The 19,588-nt window shown below is 41.5% G+C and overlaps 1 annotated feature.

Moving 5' to 3' along the window:
• Nucleotides 2,229–2,387: a silencer, noted in NCBI's record as "fragment chr12:118899925-118900083 (GRCh37/hg19 assembly coordinates)". NCBI's record gives its function as "represses an EF-1alpha promoter that drives an FKBP-Casp9 reporter gene in an ReSE screen in phorbol 12-myristate 13-acetate-treated (for megakaryocytic differentiation) K562 erythroleukemia cells {active_cell/tissue: K562(+PMA)}" and the evidence as "EXISTENCE:reporter gene assay evidence [ECO:0000049][PMID:32094911]".

Below are 19,588 nucleotides of genomic sequence, written 5' to 3'. Positions count from 1 at the left end.
GAGGACACAAAGGCATAAGAATGATACAATGGACTTTGGGGATGCAGGGGAAAGGGTCAGATGAGGGGATAAGGGATAAAAGACTACACATTGGGTACAATGTACACCACTTGGGTGATGAGTACACCATCTCAGAAATCACCACTGAAGAACTTACCCATGTAACCAAACACCACCTGTTTCCCAAAAACCTATTGAAATAAAAAGTAATTAAAAACTGCCATAATTTCATAACTAAAAACAAATGCTAATCTCTTCCAGAAACACCCTCACAGACATACCCAGAAGTAATGTTTAACCAGCTATATGGGCATCTTGTGGTCCAGTCAAGTTGATCCATAAAATTAGCTATCACAACCCATTGTGCAAATATTTATTCAGCACCTACTATATGCCGAGCACTGTGATAGCCCCTCGAGTACAGACATAAATGGGCACAATAAGTGAACACAAGAAGCTCACTGTCTTGTGTTCATCCGATATTCCCTCGTCAAATTCTAATTTTGAGCATCAACCTGGTGTTCATTGCTGTGTGAGTCACTGAGAATACTGAAATGAAAAAGATGGACACACTCCCTCCTCTTCTGGAGTTTACATGTGCGCTGATGAGACAGGTGTTAGATGACTCATTGCACAATTAAGCAATGACAATTGTGATGAGTGCTGCAAAGAAGCAGCAGAAGTTGTTAAGGGCTGTATAACAAGACGACTTGGCCTATTTATTTGGGTTGGGAGGAGGGTGGATCAGGAAAGACTCCTTAGGAAATGAGGCTAAAGCTGAAGTATGATGGATCAGTAGGGACTAGCCAGTTAAAGATAGTGGAAACTTCCTTGAAAGAGATAAGACACCTTGACATCCAGGAACTGACCTGGTTCTGTCAGCTTGTCTTTGGTGTTGCTATGAGCTGATCTACTGATAGTCCTAGCCTGGGTTTGGTGCTTTTCTGTTGAACATAAACAATTTCATGGAACATCAGCATTTGGGCTGGGCATGGTGGCTTACACCTATAATCTCAGCACTTTGGGAGGCTGAGGAGGGAGAATTGCTTGAGCCTAGGAGTTTAAGACCAGCCTGGACAACATAGCGAGATCCCATCTCTACAAAAAAAGAAAAGAAAAAAAGAAATTAGCCTGAAATGGTGGCACATGACTGTATTCTCAGCTACTTGGGAGGATGAGGTGAGAGGATCACCTGAGCCCAGGTGGTTGAGGCTGCAGTGAGGTAATTATGCCACGGTAGTCTAGCCTGGGCAATAGAATGAGATCCTGTCTCAAAAAGGCATAAACTTTTTAAAAAATTGGACAAGGCCACTCTGAGACCATGATGGAGCAAGACATAAAGAAGCATATCTGGACACAGACAAAACATGAATGCCATCCAAATCACAAAAATGACCAAATATTGCCTATCCTGCCTAATATGTGTGGCTGCTACTTCTTTACTGATTACAGGCTGAGGCTTGCTCTAGTCTTTTCTCCCTTTAGATAAGATTTATTAAGAAGCCCAATCGTAGAATTCCTCCCACTTCCTATCAGTATCCAATCCTGAGGAAAGCCCCAGTTCTTTTTTTTTTTTTTTTGAGATGGAGTTTCACTCTTGTCACCCAGGCTGGAGTGCAATGGCACGATCTTAGCTCACTGCAACCTCTGCCTCCCAGGTTCAAGCGATTCTCCTGCCTCAGCCTCCCGAGTAGCTGGGATTACAGGCACCTGCCACCATGCCGAGCTAATTTTTGTATTTTTAATAGAAATCGGGTTTCACCATGTTAGCCAGGCTGGTCTCAAACTCCTGACCTCAGGTGATCCACCCACGTCAGCCTCCCAAAGTGCTGGGATTACAGGCATGAGCCACTGTGCCCGGCCAAAGCCCCAGTTCTTTAACCCCTCACCCAGACTCCCCAGTCAAAGTCCAAATTTCGTGGCCAGGCACAGTGGCTCATGCCTGTAATCCCAACATTTCGGGAGGCTGAGGTGGGCAGATCACCTGAGGTCAGGAGTTCGAGAGAAGCCTGGGCAACATGGTGAGACCCTGTCTCCACTAAAAATACAAAAATTAGCTGAGTGTGGTGGCGCACACCTGTAATCCCAGCTACTTGGGAGGCTGAGGCAGAAGAATCGCTTGAACCCAGGAGGCGGAGGTTGCAGTGAGCTGAGATCATGACATGGTACCCCAACCTGGGCAACAGAGCAAGACTGCATCTCAAAAAAAAAAAAGTCCAAATTTTGTAATAAATCCTTCCTCACTCCCTCCTACCAAGATGTCCTACAGGTTCGATGGCGCCAGTTCTCCCTCACTGCAATGAGTAATGACCCCAACTTGTTCGGCTGCCAGCGTGCACCTAGTGGTCTTTAGCTGAAGGGCACCGACACTTGTAAATGCTTTTAAGAAATCTAAGGAATTCAAATCATCCTCCAAAAGCACTTCCAAATTTAAGGAAGCAAAAAAAGATTATTATATGAATGTGTAATTAATATTTATCATAGCTAACGTATTAGTTTTATGGTAAAGTTGAGATGGGATTGTGTTTTTATGTGTTGTATATACACTTTCACAGTACATTGAGAACCTTTGATAATTAATGTGTCTAGTGTAGCTGTATTTACATTTGAAGCATAGTTTATTTATCTTAAATCATTATGAGCTTTAGGGTTCTCATACCTCTGATTCTGGCACCTCTCCTGTTGTTACTTCTCTTCAGAGTTGCAACCTGTGTTACTAATTGATTTGGGGGTATTCATAGTGACCTTAGGCCTTTGGCACCTGGACCTTACTTGACCGAAACAGAACTCATTACCCTATCCTAAAAATCTGGCCTTCTGGCAATTTGGAAGAACTTATCAAAATTTTAAATGTGCTTAGCCTTTGACCCAGCAATGCTACTCTAAAAGTTTTACCCTTATAAATTGACTAGCACTAAAAAGCCAAAGATATACAAAGTCATTTCTTGCTTTGATGGTAATAACAGAAAGAAAAAAAATGAAAAACAACCCAAAGTTCTGTCAATAGCCAGCTACATGAATCTTCATACCATCCACACAGTAGAATACTATACAGCCATTAATACTGTTGTAAATTTATATGAATTGGTTTGGAAAGATGCATACAATATGTTGTAGTTAAAAAGAAGGCACACGACAACATGATCCAAGATTAATGCACACACATTTTTGTAAAAGCATATTTTTAGGTCTTTGATAAAAGTAGGTTTCTTCTAGGGATCCTAATTACCAGAATTGGAGAATTTTACTCCATATGATCATGTTCAAAAGATAAGTTGTATTGTTTTTATTTTTTATTACAATCGTAATGAGTGTCTTTTGCATTATTCCTTTCCCAGATTCACCAACCACCTAGTGCCCCAACTAGAATCTTACCTTCACTTTCACCTCCTTTCTCTTTCTTATCCCTAAATCCAGGCACTTCCTGAGCCAAACCTTTCCACCTCTGAAACGTTTCTCAAATCCTTCCCATACTCTTCCCTCTGACAATGTCAGTGTCATCTGGCCAGTCTCCCTGCTCCACTTCCTTCCTGTCCCCATGTGTGCTCTGCACTCTCAGGGAGCTCTTTCTAACATACATAATATAATCTCTTTATCCTTCTGCTCAAAAAACTTAGGCTCTTCTAAACCAATAGAATAAGGCTCCAACTTTTACCTTGAATGTTGTCTTGGTCCATTTTTGTTGCTATGACAAAATACCTGAGACTGGGTAATTTATAAAGAATAGAGGTTTATTTCCTCATAGTTCTGGAGACTGGGAAGTCCAAGAACAAGGCACTGGCAGCTTCAGTGTTTGGTGAGGGCTGCTGGTTGTTTCCAACATGGCACCTTGTTGCTGCACCCTCACATCATGGAAGAAGCAAATGCTGTGTTCTTACATGGCAGAAGAGACAGAAGAAAGGGTCAGCTCTCTGATGCTTCCCTTTATAAAGATGTTAATCTCATTCACAGAAGTGACTCCCTAATGGCCTAATCATCTCCCAGAGGCCCCATTTTTCTTTCTTCTTTTTTTTTTTTAATACAAGGTCTGGCTCTATCACCCAGGCTGGAGTGCAGTGGTATGATCTCCGCTCACTGCAACCTCCACCTCCCAGGCTCAAGTGATCCTCCCACCTCAGCCTCCCGAGTAACAGGGACTACAGGTGTATGCCATCACATCTGGCTAATTTTTGTATTTTTTGTAGAGATGGGGTTTTGCCATGTTGCCCAGGGTGGTCTCAAACTTGTGAGCTCAAGTGATTGGCCTGCCTCAGCCTACCAAAATGCTGGGATTACAGGCATGAGCCATCACGCTCAGCCTGAGAGGCCCCCATCTTCTAATACCATCACCTTGGTGGTGAGGTTTCAACATGGGAATTTTGGAGGGACATATACATTCAAACCATAGCAGATTTCAGCATTCACTTTAGCGCCATTTTGCCATTTTAGGCTGAAGCCAAACATCCGAGGCCTCCATACCCCAAACCCCATCCCAGATACAGCCACATTCATGGACCTCCTGATCTGGAATCTGAATCTTCATACCTTTAAATCTATGTTCACGCTGGTTTTCTCCTTTCCCACATCCCTTCTTTTAATTCCCATCTTTTAAAACACAAGGACCTTGACTTAACGTTCAACACTATAAATGTTTCTTCTCACTCTACTGAGAGGTAGCCTAGCATGATGGGAAAAATACATAGACATTGATCCAGATCATCTGGAATAAAATCTCAACTGCCATTGACAAGCTCTGTGACATTGAGCAAGCTACTTGACTACTTGCACCTTGTTTTCCTCATCTGTTAAACAGGGATAATAGGCTGGGCGTGGTGGCTCACGCCTGTAATCCCAGCACTTTGGGGGGCCAAAGCGGGTGGATCAACTGAGGTCACGAGTTCAAGACCAGCCTGGCCAACATGGCAAAACCTTGTCTCTACTAAAAATACAAAGATTAGCTGGGCGTGGTAATGAGCACCTGTAATCCCAGCTACTTGAGAGGCTGAAGCAGGAGAATCGCTTGAACCCAGGGGGCGGAGGTTGCAGTGAGCTGAGATCGCACCACTGCACTCCAGTGGTGACAAAGGGATACTCAATCTCAAAAGAAAAGCAGGGGGGAGGTGTTAATAAAGTCAGACTCATAGGCCAATATTTATAAAGCATAGAAGTATTAGACACAGTAAACACTTGAAAATATTAATTATTGTTATTATGGTTACTGGACTCTAAAATAGTATTCTCTTCTGTTGCTATTGAAGTGTGCAAAGTTTTCACTCCTAAACTAAATACTCCCCTCCCAAAGCTACTGGGTCTTTTGGGCTGTGCTGCTTCTTATAGTTTCTTGGCCTTAGTCCCTACACATAATGGTTAAGAGCTTATGCTCTGTAGCCAGATTTTCTGGATCCGTGACCTCGAGTCCTGTCTTGGGCAATTTAACTCAGTCTCTAAGCCTCAGTGTCTCTATCTATAAAATGACCTAACAATAACTCCTGCCTCCGGAGGTTGGTTTTGAAGGTTCAATATGATAAACCCTGTAAAGTGCTTAACAAGTTGCTAGCATGTAGACCAGATAATTATTTGATGCGGGGGCTGTTCTATGCATTGTAGGATGTTTAAGCAGCATCCTGGTCTCTACCCACTGGATGCAAATAAGCATCCCTCCTGACCAGTCGTGACAATCAAAAATATCTCCAGACATCTCCAAATGTCCCTTTGGTGGGGGTCAGGGAGGACAAAATAGCTTCCTGTTGAGAACCAGTGGGCTACCCTGTTGGGGCCCAGAAAGACGTTGACCCATACTATTCTATCTTCTTGGCTCCTTTTTACTTCTTAAATTGTTCTGCAAATTGCTTTCTCTATAAATTTCACCCTTTCTGCTCCCCCATAACTTAAGTCTATCCAGCCTTTAGCTTGACATGATACCAACCCTGACCCTCATACATGTCCTTGCCTTAATAGCTCCAGCATCCAAACGGCTAACTTATATTTCTCTTTATGCAGATTGCATAAAGACTCTGATTGGCTAAACCAGGATCAAGTATCAAACTCTAGTCCAATAAGCTGTGACCAGCAGAGAAGCAGCATTTGGAATGAACATAAAATCGTGGGATCCCACCCTTTCAGCAGGTGACCTGGGGTGCTTTCAAGAAAGAAGTGTGGCCACATCAGGTATCCCCGAACCCATTTCTATGGCATCTGCCTTCTCTCTTTCCCTCAAGTAGTCCTTGAACATATCTCCCACTGCCAAGGAGCCTGTCCCCACCTGCTTCTATCAATTTTTTGCTTCTCGTCAGTCACAGGTTTTGAATACTGCTTTCAAAGAATGAACAGCCTCCAAAAATGAATCCCAGGTAATGTCAAAACATTTATTTTTTTTCTTAAGAGAACTTTCTTAACTCCCCTTGGATTCTCAGGATTGATTCAAATAATTAAGGTGGCAAATTGGTGAAGTATTAAAAGGGATCATAATATGCCAACCCAAAATATGCCATTTTGGCATAAGGATTGTTTGAAGCTAAAAGGAATTAAGAAGCAGCAAATTCAGAAAGAGCTCTTTAACTCCCCACTCTGTGCCTAAAAGCAGGACATAAATTTCCCTTTGTGAAGATCGTCTCTCTCCCTTCTCCCATACCAGAAAGAGGAAAAACAGCCATTATCACTGGAGGCATAAAATTGATACAAAGATGGGTCTATGCAAATAAACCTTACAAAAATAATGCTTATTTTCCATTCGTTTTTCCCATTTATCTTCTCACAATTTACCACACCTAGAAGCCCAAATTCTTTCTCCTTTTTCTTGTCACTGCTCCACAAATTTATCATCTTTTGTTAAAATGGTATATAAAATCCCAGGTTTAACCACCTATTTGGATCTTCATTTCTTTGCTATGAAGTCCTCTATGTATGTGAAAAACATAAAGGATAAAAATTAAAATATTAAAATCAGATAAAGCTTGCTTGCCTTTTCTCCTGTTAATCTGTCTTTTGTCAGTCTAACTCATGGGTCCCACCTATAGAACCTAAAAGAGTAGAGGGAAAGCTTTTTCTCTTCCCTACAGTGTTATAAGCACACTAGGCCAATGTGTTTTCTTAGTTTTACTTGGAACACAACCCTTTGGAAGGCAATAAATATTTTTAAGTTGCATACAATTTCAGGGCAGTTCATTGCCCTTATCCTAATGCCATGCCATGTATCCTCTAAGATCTTACACATATATAGAAATATAATATATATAAATCAATTAAACATATATTATATCCAGGGTGTTGGCAACACACCCACATTTACCTTATGAATTTGATTATGAAAAAGCAAAAAATTCATCCTGCATCTCTTAAAACCAGTCACACTAGAATTTGACCCCAATGCCTCAGGAAAAGAAAGGTCACAATCAAAATGCAAAAAGAAACAAGTTAATTCTTGCCTTTTGACCTTGTAAAGACCCAGGACAATTTAAGAGAATTTTGGCCACACAAAATTTTTGCCTTAAGCACTAACATTTAACCTCCTATTCAAGATATAACCCCACATACTTTCCATACCAATCATTTTCAAACAGGACTCTACCTTGTATAGTCATGAAATCAATTTAGTGGGTCATGATCAGCATTTTTTTAAAGAATGAGACAGAACAGAAAAAGAAAATTTCAGGGAGGATGATTCATAGTATAATTATTTTTTCATACCACTTTTGCTTTTTTGTGTGTATATGTGTGTACTGAGTTGTGATTAAACATATATTTCTGACTTAGGTCAAAGATGCTTGAAAGTCATCATTCTGTATTCTGTACTGTTCAACACAGTAGTAACTAGCTACATGTGGATACTGAACACTTGAAATATGGTTGATCAGAATTGACATGTGCTGTGAGTATAAAATACACACTGGGTTTCAAAGACTAACTGTGGGGAAAAAGGGGGCCAGATTTGGCGGTTCACGCGTTTCTTACAACACTTTGGGAGGCTGAGGCAGGTGGATCACTTGAGCCCAGGAGTTCAAGACCAGCCTGGACTGAACAACATAACAAGACCCAGTCACTACAAAAAAATACAAAAATTAGCCAGGCGTGGTGGCACATGCCTGTAGCCCCAGCTATTTAGGAGGCTGAGGTCAGAGGATCACCTGAGTCTGGATGGCAGAGGTTGCAGTGAGCCAAGATAGTGCCACTGCATTCCAGCCTGGGCAACAGAGTGAGACACTGTCTCAAAAAAAAAAAATGTAGACCATATCATTAATAATTTTTTATGCTGGGTGCGATGGCTCACACCTGTAATCCCAGCACTTTGGGAGGCCGAGGCAGGCAGATCACGAGGTCAGGAGCTCGAGACCAGTCTGGCCAACATAGTGAAATCCCATCTCTACTAAAAATATAAAAAATTAGCTGGGTGTGGTGGTGTGCACCAGTAATCCCAGCTACTAGGGAGGCTGAGGCAGGAGAATCACGTGAACCTGGGAGGTGGAGGTTGCAAGTGGAGGTTGCAAGATCTCGCCACTGCACTCCAGTCTAAGTGACAGTATGAGACCCCATCTAAAAATAATAATAATAATAATTTTTTAGATTGAGTGCATGTTGAAATGATAACATTTTATTTTGGATATACTGAGTTAAAGAAAACATTATTAAAATTAATTTCACATGCTCCTTTTAACTTTTTTATAATGTGGCTACTAGAAAATTTAAAATTACATATGTGGTGGTCATTATATGCCTATTGGACAGTGGTGTTCTATATGTCTTAGTAAAGTATTGTGCATGTGTGTATATATATATATATATACACACACACATACATATATATACACACATATCACCCTAACATATATATATACGTTATATATACATATATATACACATGTATGTACATATAATATATTTATAACTGGTTTATAATACAGCGTCTTTAAATAGTATCTATCACCATATTATTACAAACACTTGGGAAAATTTGTTCAGTGTCAAAATGGCTGCCAGCTTTTTAATGTCAAGTAAAATGGCTGTCATCTGAAGCCCCTACTTCCAATGCAGAGAGTACCTTTAGACTCAGCCTAGGTGTACACATTCACCTAACTAACTTAGTCTGATGTTGCAGGGTCTTGGCAGAGATGACAAACTCGATGGCATGTTCTTATATTTTCTCTTTACCTTATTAATTCAGAAAGGATTATGGCCATGCTGCTAATGGTTATGCACTCCAAATGACCAGACATTCTGAATCACACAGGAAATGGTTGCATATCTACTTCCTGTGTTCCCTTTAAATCTCTTCATGCATCAGCTTTACCATTCAATCTCATTCTCTGTGTTTTCCTTTCCTCTCTTAGCTGAGGGAAAGTAATATTACCTATCAATCATAATATTGATATTTCTACTGTCCAAGAAATGCTATAATGACTCCCCCAGCAGGTGCACACACACATATACACCTGCTACTCCTGATCGATTCTAGCCTCTCTGGGAGCCACTCACATATTCCCCTGGCTTGACTCCTTCTATATCCAACATATCTAATTATATTGATCTTAGGAATTCTTTTCCTTCTGGTAAATAAAATGGTAATAATAATAATACAATAGCTGCCTTTTATGGAGTACTTATCTTCCGGACATTATGCTGAGCACTTTCTGTCATGAAAGCATTACAACAATTTTGTGGTGTGGATACATATCCCATTTTAGAAATAAGGAAACTGGCCAGGTGCAGTGGCTCATGCCTGTAATCCCAACAGTTTGGGAGGCCAAGGTGGGCAGATCGCTTGTGGTCAGGGGTTCGACACCAGCCTGGCCAACATGGTGAAACCCGTCTCTACTAAAAATACAAAAATTAGCTGGGCACAGTGGCACGCACCTATAATCTCAGCTACTTAGGAGGCTGAGACTCAAGAATTGCTTGAACTTGGGAGGCAGAGGTTGCAGTGAGCTGAGATCGTGCCACTGCACTCCAGCCTGGGTGACATCTTAAAAAAAAATAGTAATCACTGCAAGAGAAAAAAATGACATACATGTAGCTACAATAAAAAGATTTCTGGCAAATAGAGATAATAAGACATTGTCCCACAAAAAAAAGCATTATAAAAGAGAAAGAGAGAAAGAAAGAAAGAGAGAGAAACAGAGAGAGAGAGGGAGGGAGGATGGAAGGAAGGAAGGAAGGAAAAAGAAAGAAACTTTGTTTTATGAAATGACCCAAATTGTAAGATTCATGATGTCTTGTTCAACATACAACCAAGATATACAAAGAGTACCTGGCACATATGTGTAAGTGCTCAATAAACATTGGTTGCATAGATAAGTGAATGAATGAATGATGGAATACACCACTTTCTACTTTTATTTATAGCTGTGTCTATGTGTCATCCACCTTTCAAGTAAAGCTGAGTTCCTTGAGGGTTGGATTTATCTTTGCATTTCCTGTAATAAGAACAATTCCTGCCACAGAGTGGACACTCAAAGATATGTTTAATAAATCAATAAAAGAATAGATGATTAAATAAATGTCACTTTTCCACCACTTCAGATACAACATTCTCTTGCTAAGAATCATTCAATGCCTCCCTATTACTCTTAGGCTAAAGTCCAGACTATTCTCCATGGCCTACAAAGATTTAGCACTCAAGCCACATCTCTTTTACTTGGAATTCCAGCTACACTAAACTTGGAGCTCCTCAAATTCATTGTTAGGGTAAAGATCAGAGTCCCTACTTCCCCACTCAGGGCCCTTCACCTGGCCCATCATCACCTGCTCCCAATCCCACTGCTATTCCTTCATCTGGCTAAGTCCTTCTTGTCTCCCGGTGAAGTCTTTCCTGACCCATCTCTAGCTTAATACACTTCATATAGCTCTCATTGTATCCTGTACCACTGCTTTGCAGTGTTTGTCACAAGAATAAATTATTGTTTTTGTGTTTCTTTTTTTTTTGAGACAGAGTCTCGCTCTGTCGCCCAGGCTGGAGTGCAGTGGCACCATTTCACTGTAACCTTCACCTCCCAGGTTCAAGAGATTCTCCTGCCTCAGCCTCCCGAGTAGCTGGGATGACAGGCACACGCCACCGCACCTGGCTAATTTTTGTATTTTTAGTAAAGACGGGGTTTCACCATGTTGGCCAGGCTGGTCTCAAACTCCTGACCTCAGGTGATCCACCCACCTCAGCCTCCCAAAGTGCTGGGATTATAGGCATGAGCCACCACACCCAGACAATTTTTGTGTTTCTTTTATCTAGTATTTATTTCCTCCATTCAGCTATAAGTTCCATGAGATAAGGAGTGTGTCTGTTTTAGTTTTTCACCATGTTATCTAGTACCTAGGACAGAGGTAGGAAACCAATGGCCCATACATATTTTTTTTGACCTGCCCTCCAGATGTTTTTTTCCTACAATTTGAATTCATTATAAAACTTAAAATATATATATATATTTTTAAAAATCTGAATTTCTGGCTTCTCTTGAAAGAAAAGAATCCAAAGATCTGAAATGACTGCACAACTGTCAGGATAGGTGAGCAATGCTGCAGTAACAATCTCAAAAACTCAGATGGATTTCTCACTCACACTCCATGTCCACTGTAGGAGGCCGGGGCTCTGCTCCCATTGCCTGAGTTCTAACTGGAGCATCAACTGTCACTGTGGCTGAAGGGAAATGAGACCCAAGCAAACCATGTCCAGTCTTTTTTTTTTTTTTTTTTTTGAGATGGAGTCTCGCTCTGTCACCCAGGCTGGAGTGTAGTGGTACAATCTCAGCTCACTGCAAGCTCCACCTCCCGGGTTCAAGTGATTCTCATGCTTCAGCCTCCCGAGTAGCTGGGACTACAGGCGCCCGCCACCACACCCAGCTAATTTTTGTATTTTTAGTAAAGATGGGATTTTGCCATATTGGCCAGGCTGGTCTCAAACTCCTGACCTCAAGTGATCGGCCCGCCTTAGCTTCCCAAAGTGCTAGGATTACAGACGTAAGCCACCACGCCCAGCCCACCCATGTTTCACTGGCCAAATCAGTCGGTGGGATGGGGATGTAATGGGATGTAATCCCTCTTCAGGAGGGGAAACAGCACATCTGGAATGCAGTAATACACATCTATCCCAGAGAAACAATTGTCTAAACTTGAAAAGCAGCTGTCTTCTTTAGAGGGGACATTTACTCTCTAGTTTGACACACACTTCTCTTCATTCATTACTCTTCGTATATTACACCAACTCCCTGCAGGAATTTAACTTTACAACCCCTTTTAGTAGGGATTGCAAAAGAATCAATACATGAATAAATGAATAAGCCCTTCTGTTTATTATGGCATGGGTGAAAACCGGCTTCTTGAGATGCATCCCTTCACACCATGCCCTGGCTGGTCACTCACTGCCTTTTTCGGGGCACCCCTGCCTGGACTAGCTCCACCCCCAGGGACCACTGCATTAGCTGAACAGGGCGGAAAACACCCCTACGCAGATGCCCCGCAATTACAGCACAAATGAAGTGACTGAGCAGCTATGACTCAGGACAGGTTGGTCATCATTTATGAAACAGGTGGGGCTCTGTAGGAATGAGGAGGCAGCATCCGTGGTAGGTAAGGGGCACTGATAGGTGAAAAAAAGTGCTGGGTGCAGCCTCATTATTTTTTGTAATGGCCTTGGGATCAAATATTCTTCTCAAATACCTTGTCTCCCATAGTGGCAAGAAAGAGGAGTCTCTTTGCTCTGTTGATGGATTCAGGGGCATGGAGGGTTGTTTCCTTTGTGTTGTAAAGGTATAGCTTTTTTCTGAACCTTTATTTCTAAGAAACCTAGGTTACGAATTATTTGTGAAATAATCTCCTGTCCCAATCAGCATTGGTTCTGCTACCTCCCTTCCACCAGGCTACCAGATTTTTAAATGATCTCCTCCTATACCAGTGTTCCTATTTGGAAACTTGAGATGACATCATTCTAATTTTAACCATGTCCCAAATCTTCCCCTTTTTCTGATTCTCATCTGTTCACTCTCTCATATGTATCTCTGTGTGTATATACTTACATACGCATAGATGTATATGAATGTCTATATCAATGTCATTATTTCTTCCAGTGAACATTTATTACAATGTTAGACATTTGGGGTCAAATGATGAGCAAGATAAGAATGGGTGCTGGCCCTCTGGAGTCCGGAGTCCTAACAGGAAGGCATAGCAATAATATGAAATTGTTGGGATAAATTCTACAATAAAAGGAGTTCAGAGCGCATAGGAAGCCTGAACCCAGACCTGGAAGGTTCAGCGACAACTTCTCAGAAGAGATGGCATTTAAACTAAAATCCAGAGATCAATAGCAATTAGTGAGGTGACTCCAGGCAGCAGGAACAACCGTGAGAGGATCCAGAGTACAAAAAAAGCATGGAATCTGTAAGGAGCAAACAAGTCTCTTTCGGCTAGAACATCAGTAGGAAGAGCAGGGTCCAAAGCAGGTGGGGGAAATAGAGAAGAAGCTAATGAGGAAAGCAAGGGCCAGATCTTTTAAGGTTTTACATGCTCTGTGAAGCAGCTGGAACTTAATTCTGAGTGAAGCAGGAAGTCAATGATGGATTTTAAGCAGGAGGGTGATATGATCCGATTTACATTTGCTCCATGGGGCTATTCAAAACACTCAGCAGCCCAGAAGTCTTGGCACTGACCCATCAGAAGAGATGTAGACAGGGTCCTGAAGGCGTCTGTTTCTTCTAGGCATTCACCCATTGGTTGTTGGAGATCTGAAGTGTCCCAGGGAAGAGGTAGGGCTGTCTAGAGGACAGGGGCCCCGGGACAGTGTACTTTCTGCTAATCATTTACCAATGCATGGATTATATCTAAAAATCTACATATGAGAAAGATGAAGGAATGCTACACAAGCAAAAGTCACCTTTTTTTGGATGACAAAATTCATGCTCTTGTTGAGAAGTAATGTTTTGACAACCAGTATGACTGTCCTGGGGCATAACAGCTAAGCGTGTGTCCTAATGTCTGCACAGAACATATAAGCCAGGATAATATTTTGAAAAGTGAACCAATGTCCTTTCCTCTCATTATCATATGTTATCCCATGATCCTTCTCTGTTTGAGTGGTCAGACCACAGAGAGTTGAAAGCAGAAGAAGGGCTTTTAAATTTCAAAACCCTGTGAACCCTGAAGGGTCTTGGGCCTCAAGAAAACAAACACGAGTCAGACCAGGGTTTCTTGCCTTCAAGACTCCATAAAAGGGAAAGGGAGGAGGCGGAGAGCTTGGGCATTAGGGATACATGCCTCCTACCCCATTCGAAGCCACAGAAACTCCAGAAAGGAATCAGAGCTGGGAATCTGAGCTCTGTTTTGAGTGTTCACCCAAGAAGCCATGAAGGAACCAAGGGGATAAATAGCTACAATCCAGTCACAGGAAACAGTATCTCCCCACTTGCCCCCCAATACTTTACTATTACTAAGCATTATTTAAGCCTCCTGGAACTTAAAAAAGAAAAAGTCGAGCTCTAAAACCCCAGTTATAAAAGGCATTCTTGGGATAATTGGGGGATTTTGACTACAAGCTAGATTTTAGATGATACTATGAAAATTATTGCTAATTTTCTTAACCATGGTAATGGTAACGCGATTATGTAGAAGAAAGTTCTTTTTCTTAGGAAAATGCATGCTGAAGTATTAAGAGGTAAAGTGTCATAATTTCTGGCAAATTATCTTCAAAGAGAGAAAGCAAATATAGCAAAATGTTAACAATTGATCTAAGAGGGGTATGTGGATACTTATTGTATTATTTCTGTAACTTCTACATATTTTAACTTTAAAAATATGTAAACTTTTATAATACATTTTTATAATAAAGCTAATAATTGTAATTATAAATACCAGAAGGCATGAGAAAAAAATGTTGATGCAATAATAAGTTAAAATGTTTTAAGTAGGATAAAGAATGGCTTGCATTGAGTATATTCATAAATTTGTAAAAACATACACATGAAAAAGTGAAGACGATACAAGTAAATAGTTATTTAATTAGAATGGTGGGGTTATCTCTAGCATTTTCCTCTATTTCTCATCTGTTCTGTACTTGATGATATTAAACAAGTACTTTAAAATGTTACCTTTAAAAAAGGGGAATGGCGATTCCTCAGAGACCTAGAACTGAAATACCATCTGACCCAGCAATCCCATTACTGGGTATATACCCAAAGGAATATAAATCATTCTATTATAAAGATACATACACATATATGTTCATTGCAGCACTATTCACAATAGCAAAGACATGGAATCAACCCAAATGCCCATCAATGTTAGGCCAGATAAAGAAAATGTGGTATGTATAACACCATGGAATACTATGCAGCCATAAAAAGGAGTGAGATCACATCCTTTGCAGGGACATGGATAGAGCTGGAAGCCATTATCCTCAGCAAATAATGCAGGAACAGAAAACCATTACACCACATATTCTCATTTATAAGTGGGAGCTGAACAATGAGAACACATGGACACAGGAAGGGGAACAACATACCCTGGGGCCTGTTGTGGGGGTGGTGGGGAGGGAGAGCATCAGGATAAGTAGCTAATGAATGCAGGGCTTAATACCTAGATGATGGGTTGATCTTTGTAGCAAACCACCATGGCACACATTTACCTATGTAACAAACCTGCACATCCTGCACATGTATCCTGAAACTTAAAATTAAATTGAATTATTTTTTTAAAAAAGAGAGGGAAGTGGAGAGAAGAGATTCTGAACTGACTGAGATCAAGTAACAACCACCCCCATGATGGGAGCTCAGAATAAAATTTTAATTGAATGATGGAAAAGTAAGAAAGTGGCTTTATGTTATTCCTGGGTTAGTAGACCAAGAGTTTACATGCGCCAGGTTTCCTAGATGCAAGCTATAGAAATCACCTCTGGCTCCTGTAAGCATTCTGGAGATGATGGGGAGCTCATAGAATGACCAGAAAGGCTGAAGAGCCAAGCCTGGCAAGTGAATAGGCAAAAAGCAAGACTGGCCAGCTGCCAGGACCTCTGCCAGATTCAGGCAGCAAGAGCAGCTCAAGGAAGACAGGACTGCAGCAATCCCCAAGCTGAGGGCACTACAGTTTAGACCTTGGCCCCTGCTAGCCCTGGGCACTGAGTGCTGCCACTGGCACCATTATTGCCCTCTAGAAACCCCCTGCTGCTCCTGCCACTTCCATAACTGCTCCTCCATTGCCCCTATTCTGCATGACACTGATTCCATTTCAAAGTCTCACACAAGTGCATCTGACTGGCCAACTCCATGTCACATGATCACACCTGAGCTGCAAAGGATCCTGGGAAGGCAAATACCTCATTGTCAGAGCTTCTCTTGTGAGAGGAGCATTCTGCCTCCCCACAAGACTCATATAATGGGAAATTTTCCAAATATAGAATGAAGATTCTAACACTGGGCAGCCAAAAAATGACAAATGTCACCACACAACTGTTCCTGCCACAACAATTGCACCAGGCACTGGATAGGAAAAAATAAGACCAAGATTTGGCCTCTGCTCTCAAGATGCAATTTTGAGAGTGGAGGCTATATCTTACGCTTCTTTGCTAATCCATGGTGCTTGGCAGAGAGTAAACTCTTAATAAGTGTTTGCTAAATAAATAAAAATAAATGAACAATCTTGCCTGGATAAATCAAATGACCCCTTTGCAGGCAGGGGACTACACAAAATAAGTCTGCAGGACCTTCTAGCAAGAAGATTCTTGGGATGTATGATCTTGCCTGAAATGGCTGAGACTCACAGTGATCTTTTGGAAACCGTCTATGAACCAGAAGCTAGAGTGAAACTGCACAGATGCACTAAGCCTCAGCACAACCCAAATATTACATTTTGAAATGGATCCACCTAGAAATCCAGTTCAAATTGAGTCTAAATCTAAACATCCTCTAAAACAATTGAACAAGAATGAAATTTGTTCTGTCCCTGCTTTCGGTTGAATTTTCCTATCTTTTAAACAAAAGGCCCAGTGCCATTAGTTTTGGTCATACACTGGCCTATGGTGCTATACTGGGCTGCTATGTCACAGCACACACCAGCAATAATTTTATAAATGTGTTCTTCCCAGCTTCCTACCTCTGAGCTTGAATCGATTTCTGGTCACACCTTGCACATTTCGTGCCAAAAGGCTGCAGTGAGGGTTACTAAGGGTTGGTGTGAAATCACTTGTTTTGCAGATCTTTAAACGTAAGTAAGAATCACCTCTCCTTTCGGTGGTTTTGGCCTCAGTTCAACTAGATGCAAAGTTGCTAGATTCTGTTCAGTCTCTGGACTTTTCATTAATTTGTTCATTCAACAAATTTATATCAACTGCCTACTATGGGTCAGGAACTGTGCTAATCCTGGGGATATAGCAGTGATCAGAAAAGAGATGGTCCTTGAATTCATGACACTTAATATTCTAGATGGAGACCCATAAATCAATGTGCAATTACAAAATGGAATAGGTATGGGGGGAATGGGGTGCTATATATGAAAATAATGGGAAATCTAATTTGGATTGGGTAGGGTGGAGGAAAAGAAAGCCTTCTCAAGGACATTTAAGCTGCATTCTAAATGATGAGAAGAGTTGCTGTGGGCTGAATCATGTCCTTTCCCCACCCCCACCACCCACTACCAAAATTCACATGTTGAAGTCCTAACTCCTAGTACCTCAAAGTGTGACTGTATTTGGAGATGAGGTCTCGAAAGAGGTAATTAAATTAAAATGAGATGATTATGGTGGGTCCTAATCTGACTGTTGTCCTCATAAAAAGAGGAAATTTAGACCCAGACACAGAGGGAAGACCATGTGAAGACATGGGGAGAAGGTGGCCATCTACAAGCTTCCCATTCATTTTCCACCATGATTGTAAGTTTCCTGAGGCCTCCTGGCCATGCTTCCCGTTAAGCCTGTCAAACTGTGAGTCAATTAAACCTCTTTTCTTCATAAATTACCCAGTCTCAGGTATGACTTCACAGCAGTGTGAGAACAGACTAATACAGATGGTACATCAGCTTCTGGCTTGAATACCTGGGAGCACTTAATATAACACATTTTCTTTTGTGTAGAGAAACTTTTGGAAGAGAGTGTGGGTTCCACCCTGCCATCTGCTGGCTGAGACACCAGACAAGAGGTTGAACCTCTTTCTGGCAAAAGTCAAGGTGCTTAGCTTGGCAAACAAGGTGCTAAATCTACCCCCTCCCGGCCTCTTCAGCTGCCCCTTTCATGGCCCACCCACAGACATCTCAGGCTCTGGACGGACCAAGTTTCTCGCCTTTTGCAAACACCTCTCCCTTCCTTAAGTGTCGTCCTTGTTCCCTCAGTGTAGAACATTTACATTCTACCTCCCTGGAAACCCCTGCCTGTCATCACATACCCTGCCCAGATGTAACAACTTCTTCAAAACCTCCCATGACTCCCCAGCTTTCTACCTTGACCCCACCTCTCCCTATAGTAGTTAATTTTTGTGATCCACCCTCTTTACCCAAGCCCCCTGAAGGAGGTGTCTACACTCTGTTCTCACATAATTACTTCCCTCTCAGTCCACTGCCGTCAGCTCCTGCACTCCACTGGAACTGGTTTGCCCAAGGCACTAATTACATCCATGTCATTCTCTCATCTATCTATACAGCTTCCTGTTCTTTCCTTCCAATCACTATTCCAATTTGTAATTGTATATTCAATTATGGATTTCTTTCTAGAATGTAAGTGCAGTAAATTCAAGGCTAAACCCATGTTGCTGAATCCAAAGGATACTTTTCTTTTCTTTTTTGAGACAGGATCTTGCTCTGTCACCCAGGCTGGAGTGTAGTGGTGCAATCACTGCTCACTGCAGCCTCAACCTCCTGGGTTCAAGCAGTCCTCCCACCTTAGCCTCTCAAGTAGCTGGAACCACAGGTACATGCCACCATGCCCAGCTAATTTTTGTAGAGACAGGGTCTCCTTGTTGACCAGGCTGGTATTGAACTCTTGACCTAAAGCAATCCTCCTGCCTCAGGCTCCCAAAGTGCTAAGATTTCAGGCATGATCCACCATGCCTAGCCCAATGGAGACCTTGGACCACTGGTTTTTCTCCCCTCTGCACAAAATTTGATAGTGTACATGCATTCCTTTTTAAAAAACATTTTACACTGAAATGTTTCAAGTCTATAAAAAAGTTGTAAGAATAGTACAGTGAATACTCATGTATCCTTACCCAGATTTACCAAATAATATTTTGCCTCATTTGCCTTAAGTATCTATTTATCCTTTTTATTTTTTCAGAACCATGGAAGGTGCTTAATCTGTTTGGGCTACTACAAAAAAATACTATAACCTAGACAGTTTATAAGCAACAGAATTTTTCCCCCACAGTTCTAGAGGCTGGGAAGTCCAAGACCAAGTTGCCAGGCATTCAGTATCTGGTGAGAGCCAGCTGTTCTCTCACTGTAACCTCTGACATGAATGGGAGATTAGAGCCCTCATGACCTATCACCTCTGAAGGTCCCATCTCCAAATTTTCACACATTAGGGATTAGGCTTCAACATATGAATTTTGGAAGGACACAAACATTCAGATCATAGCAGAAGGGTAAATGGAATACATCCCAAACTTTCACCTCAAAATATCTCAGCACATATTTCCTAAGAACAAAGGTATTC

Source organism: Homo sapiens, chromosome 12 (genome assembly GCF_000001405.40).
Source record: "Homo sapiens chromosome 12, GRCh38.p14 Primary Assembly".
In the NCBI taxonomy this organism is placed as follows: domain Eukaryota; kingdom Metazoa; phylum Chordata; class Mammalia; order Primates; family Hominidae; genus Homo; species Homo sapiens.
Note: the sequence above shows the minus strand (reverse complement) of the source record. Positions and strands in the feature narration are given on the sequence as shown.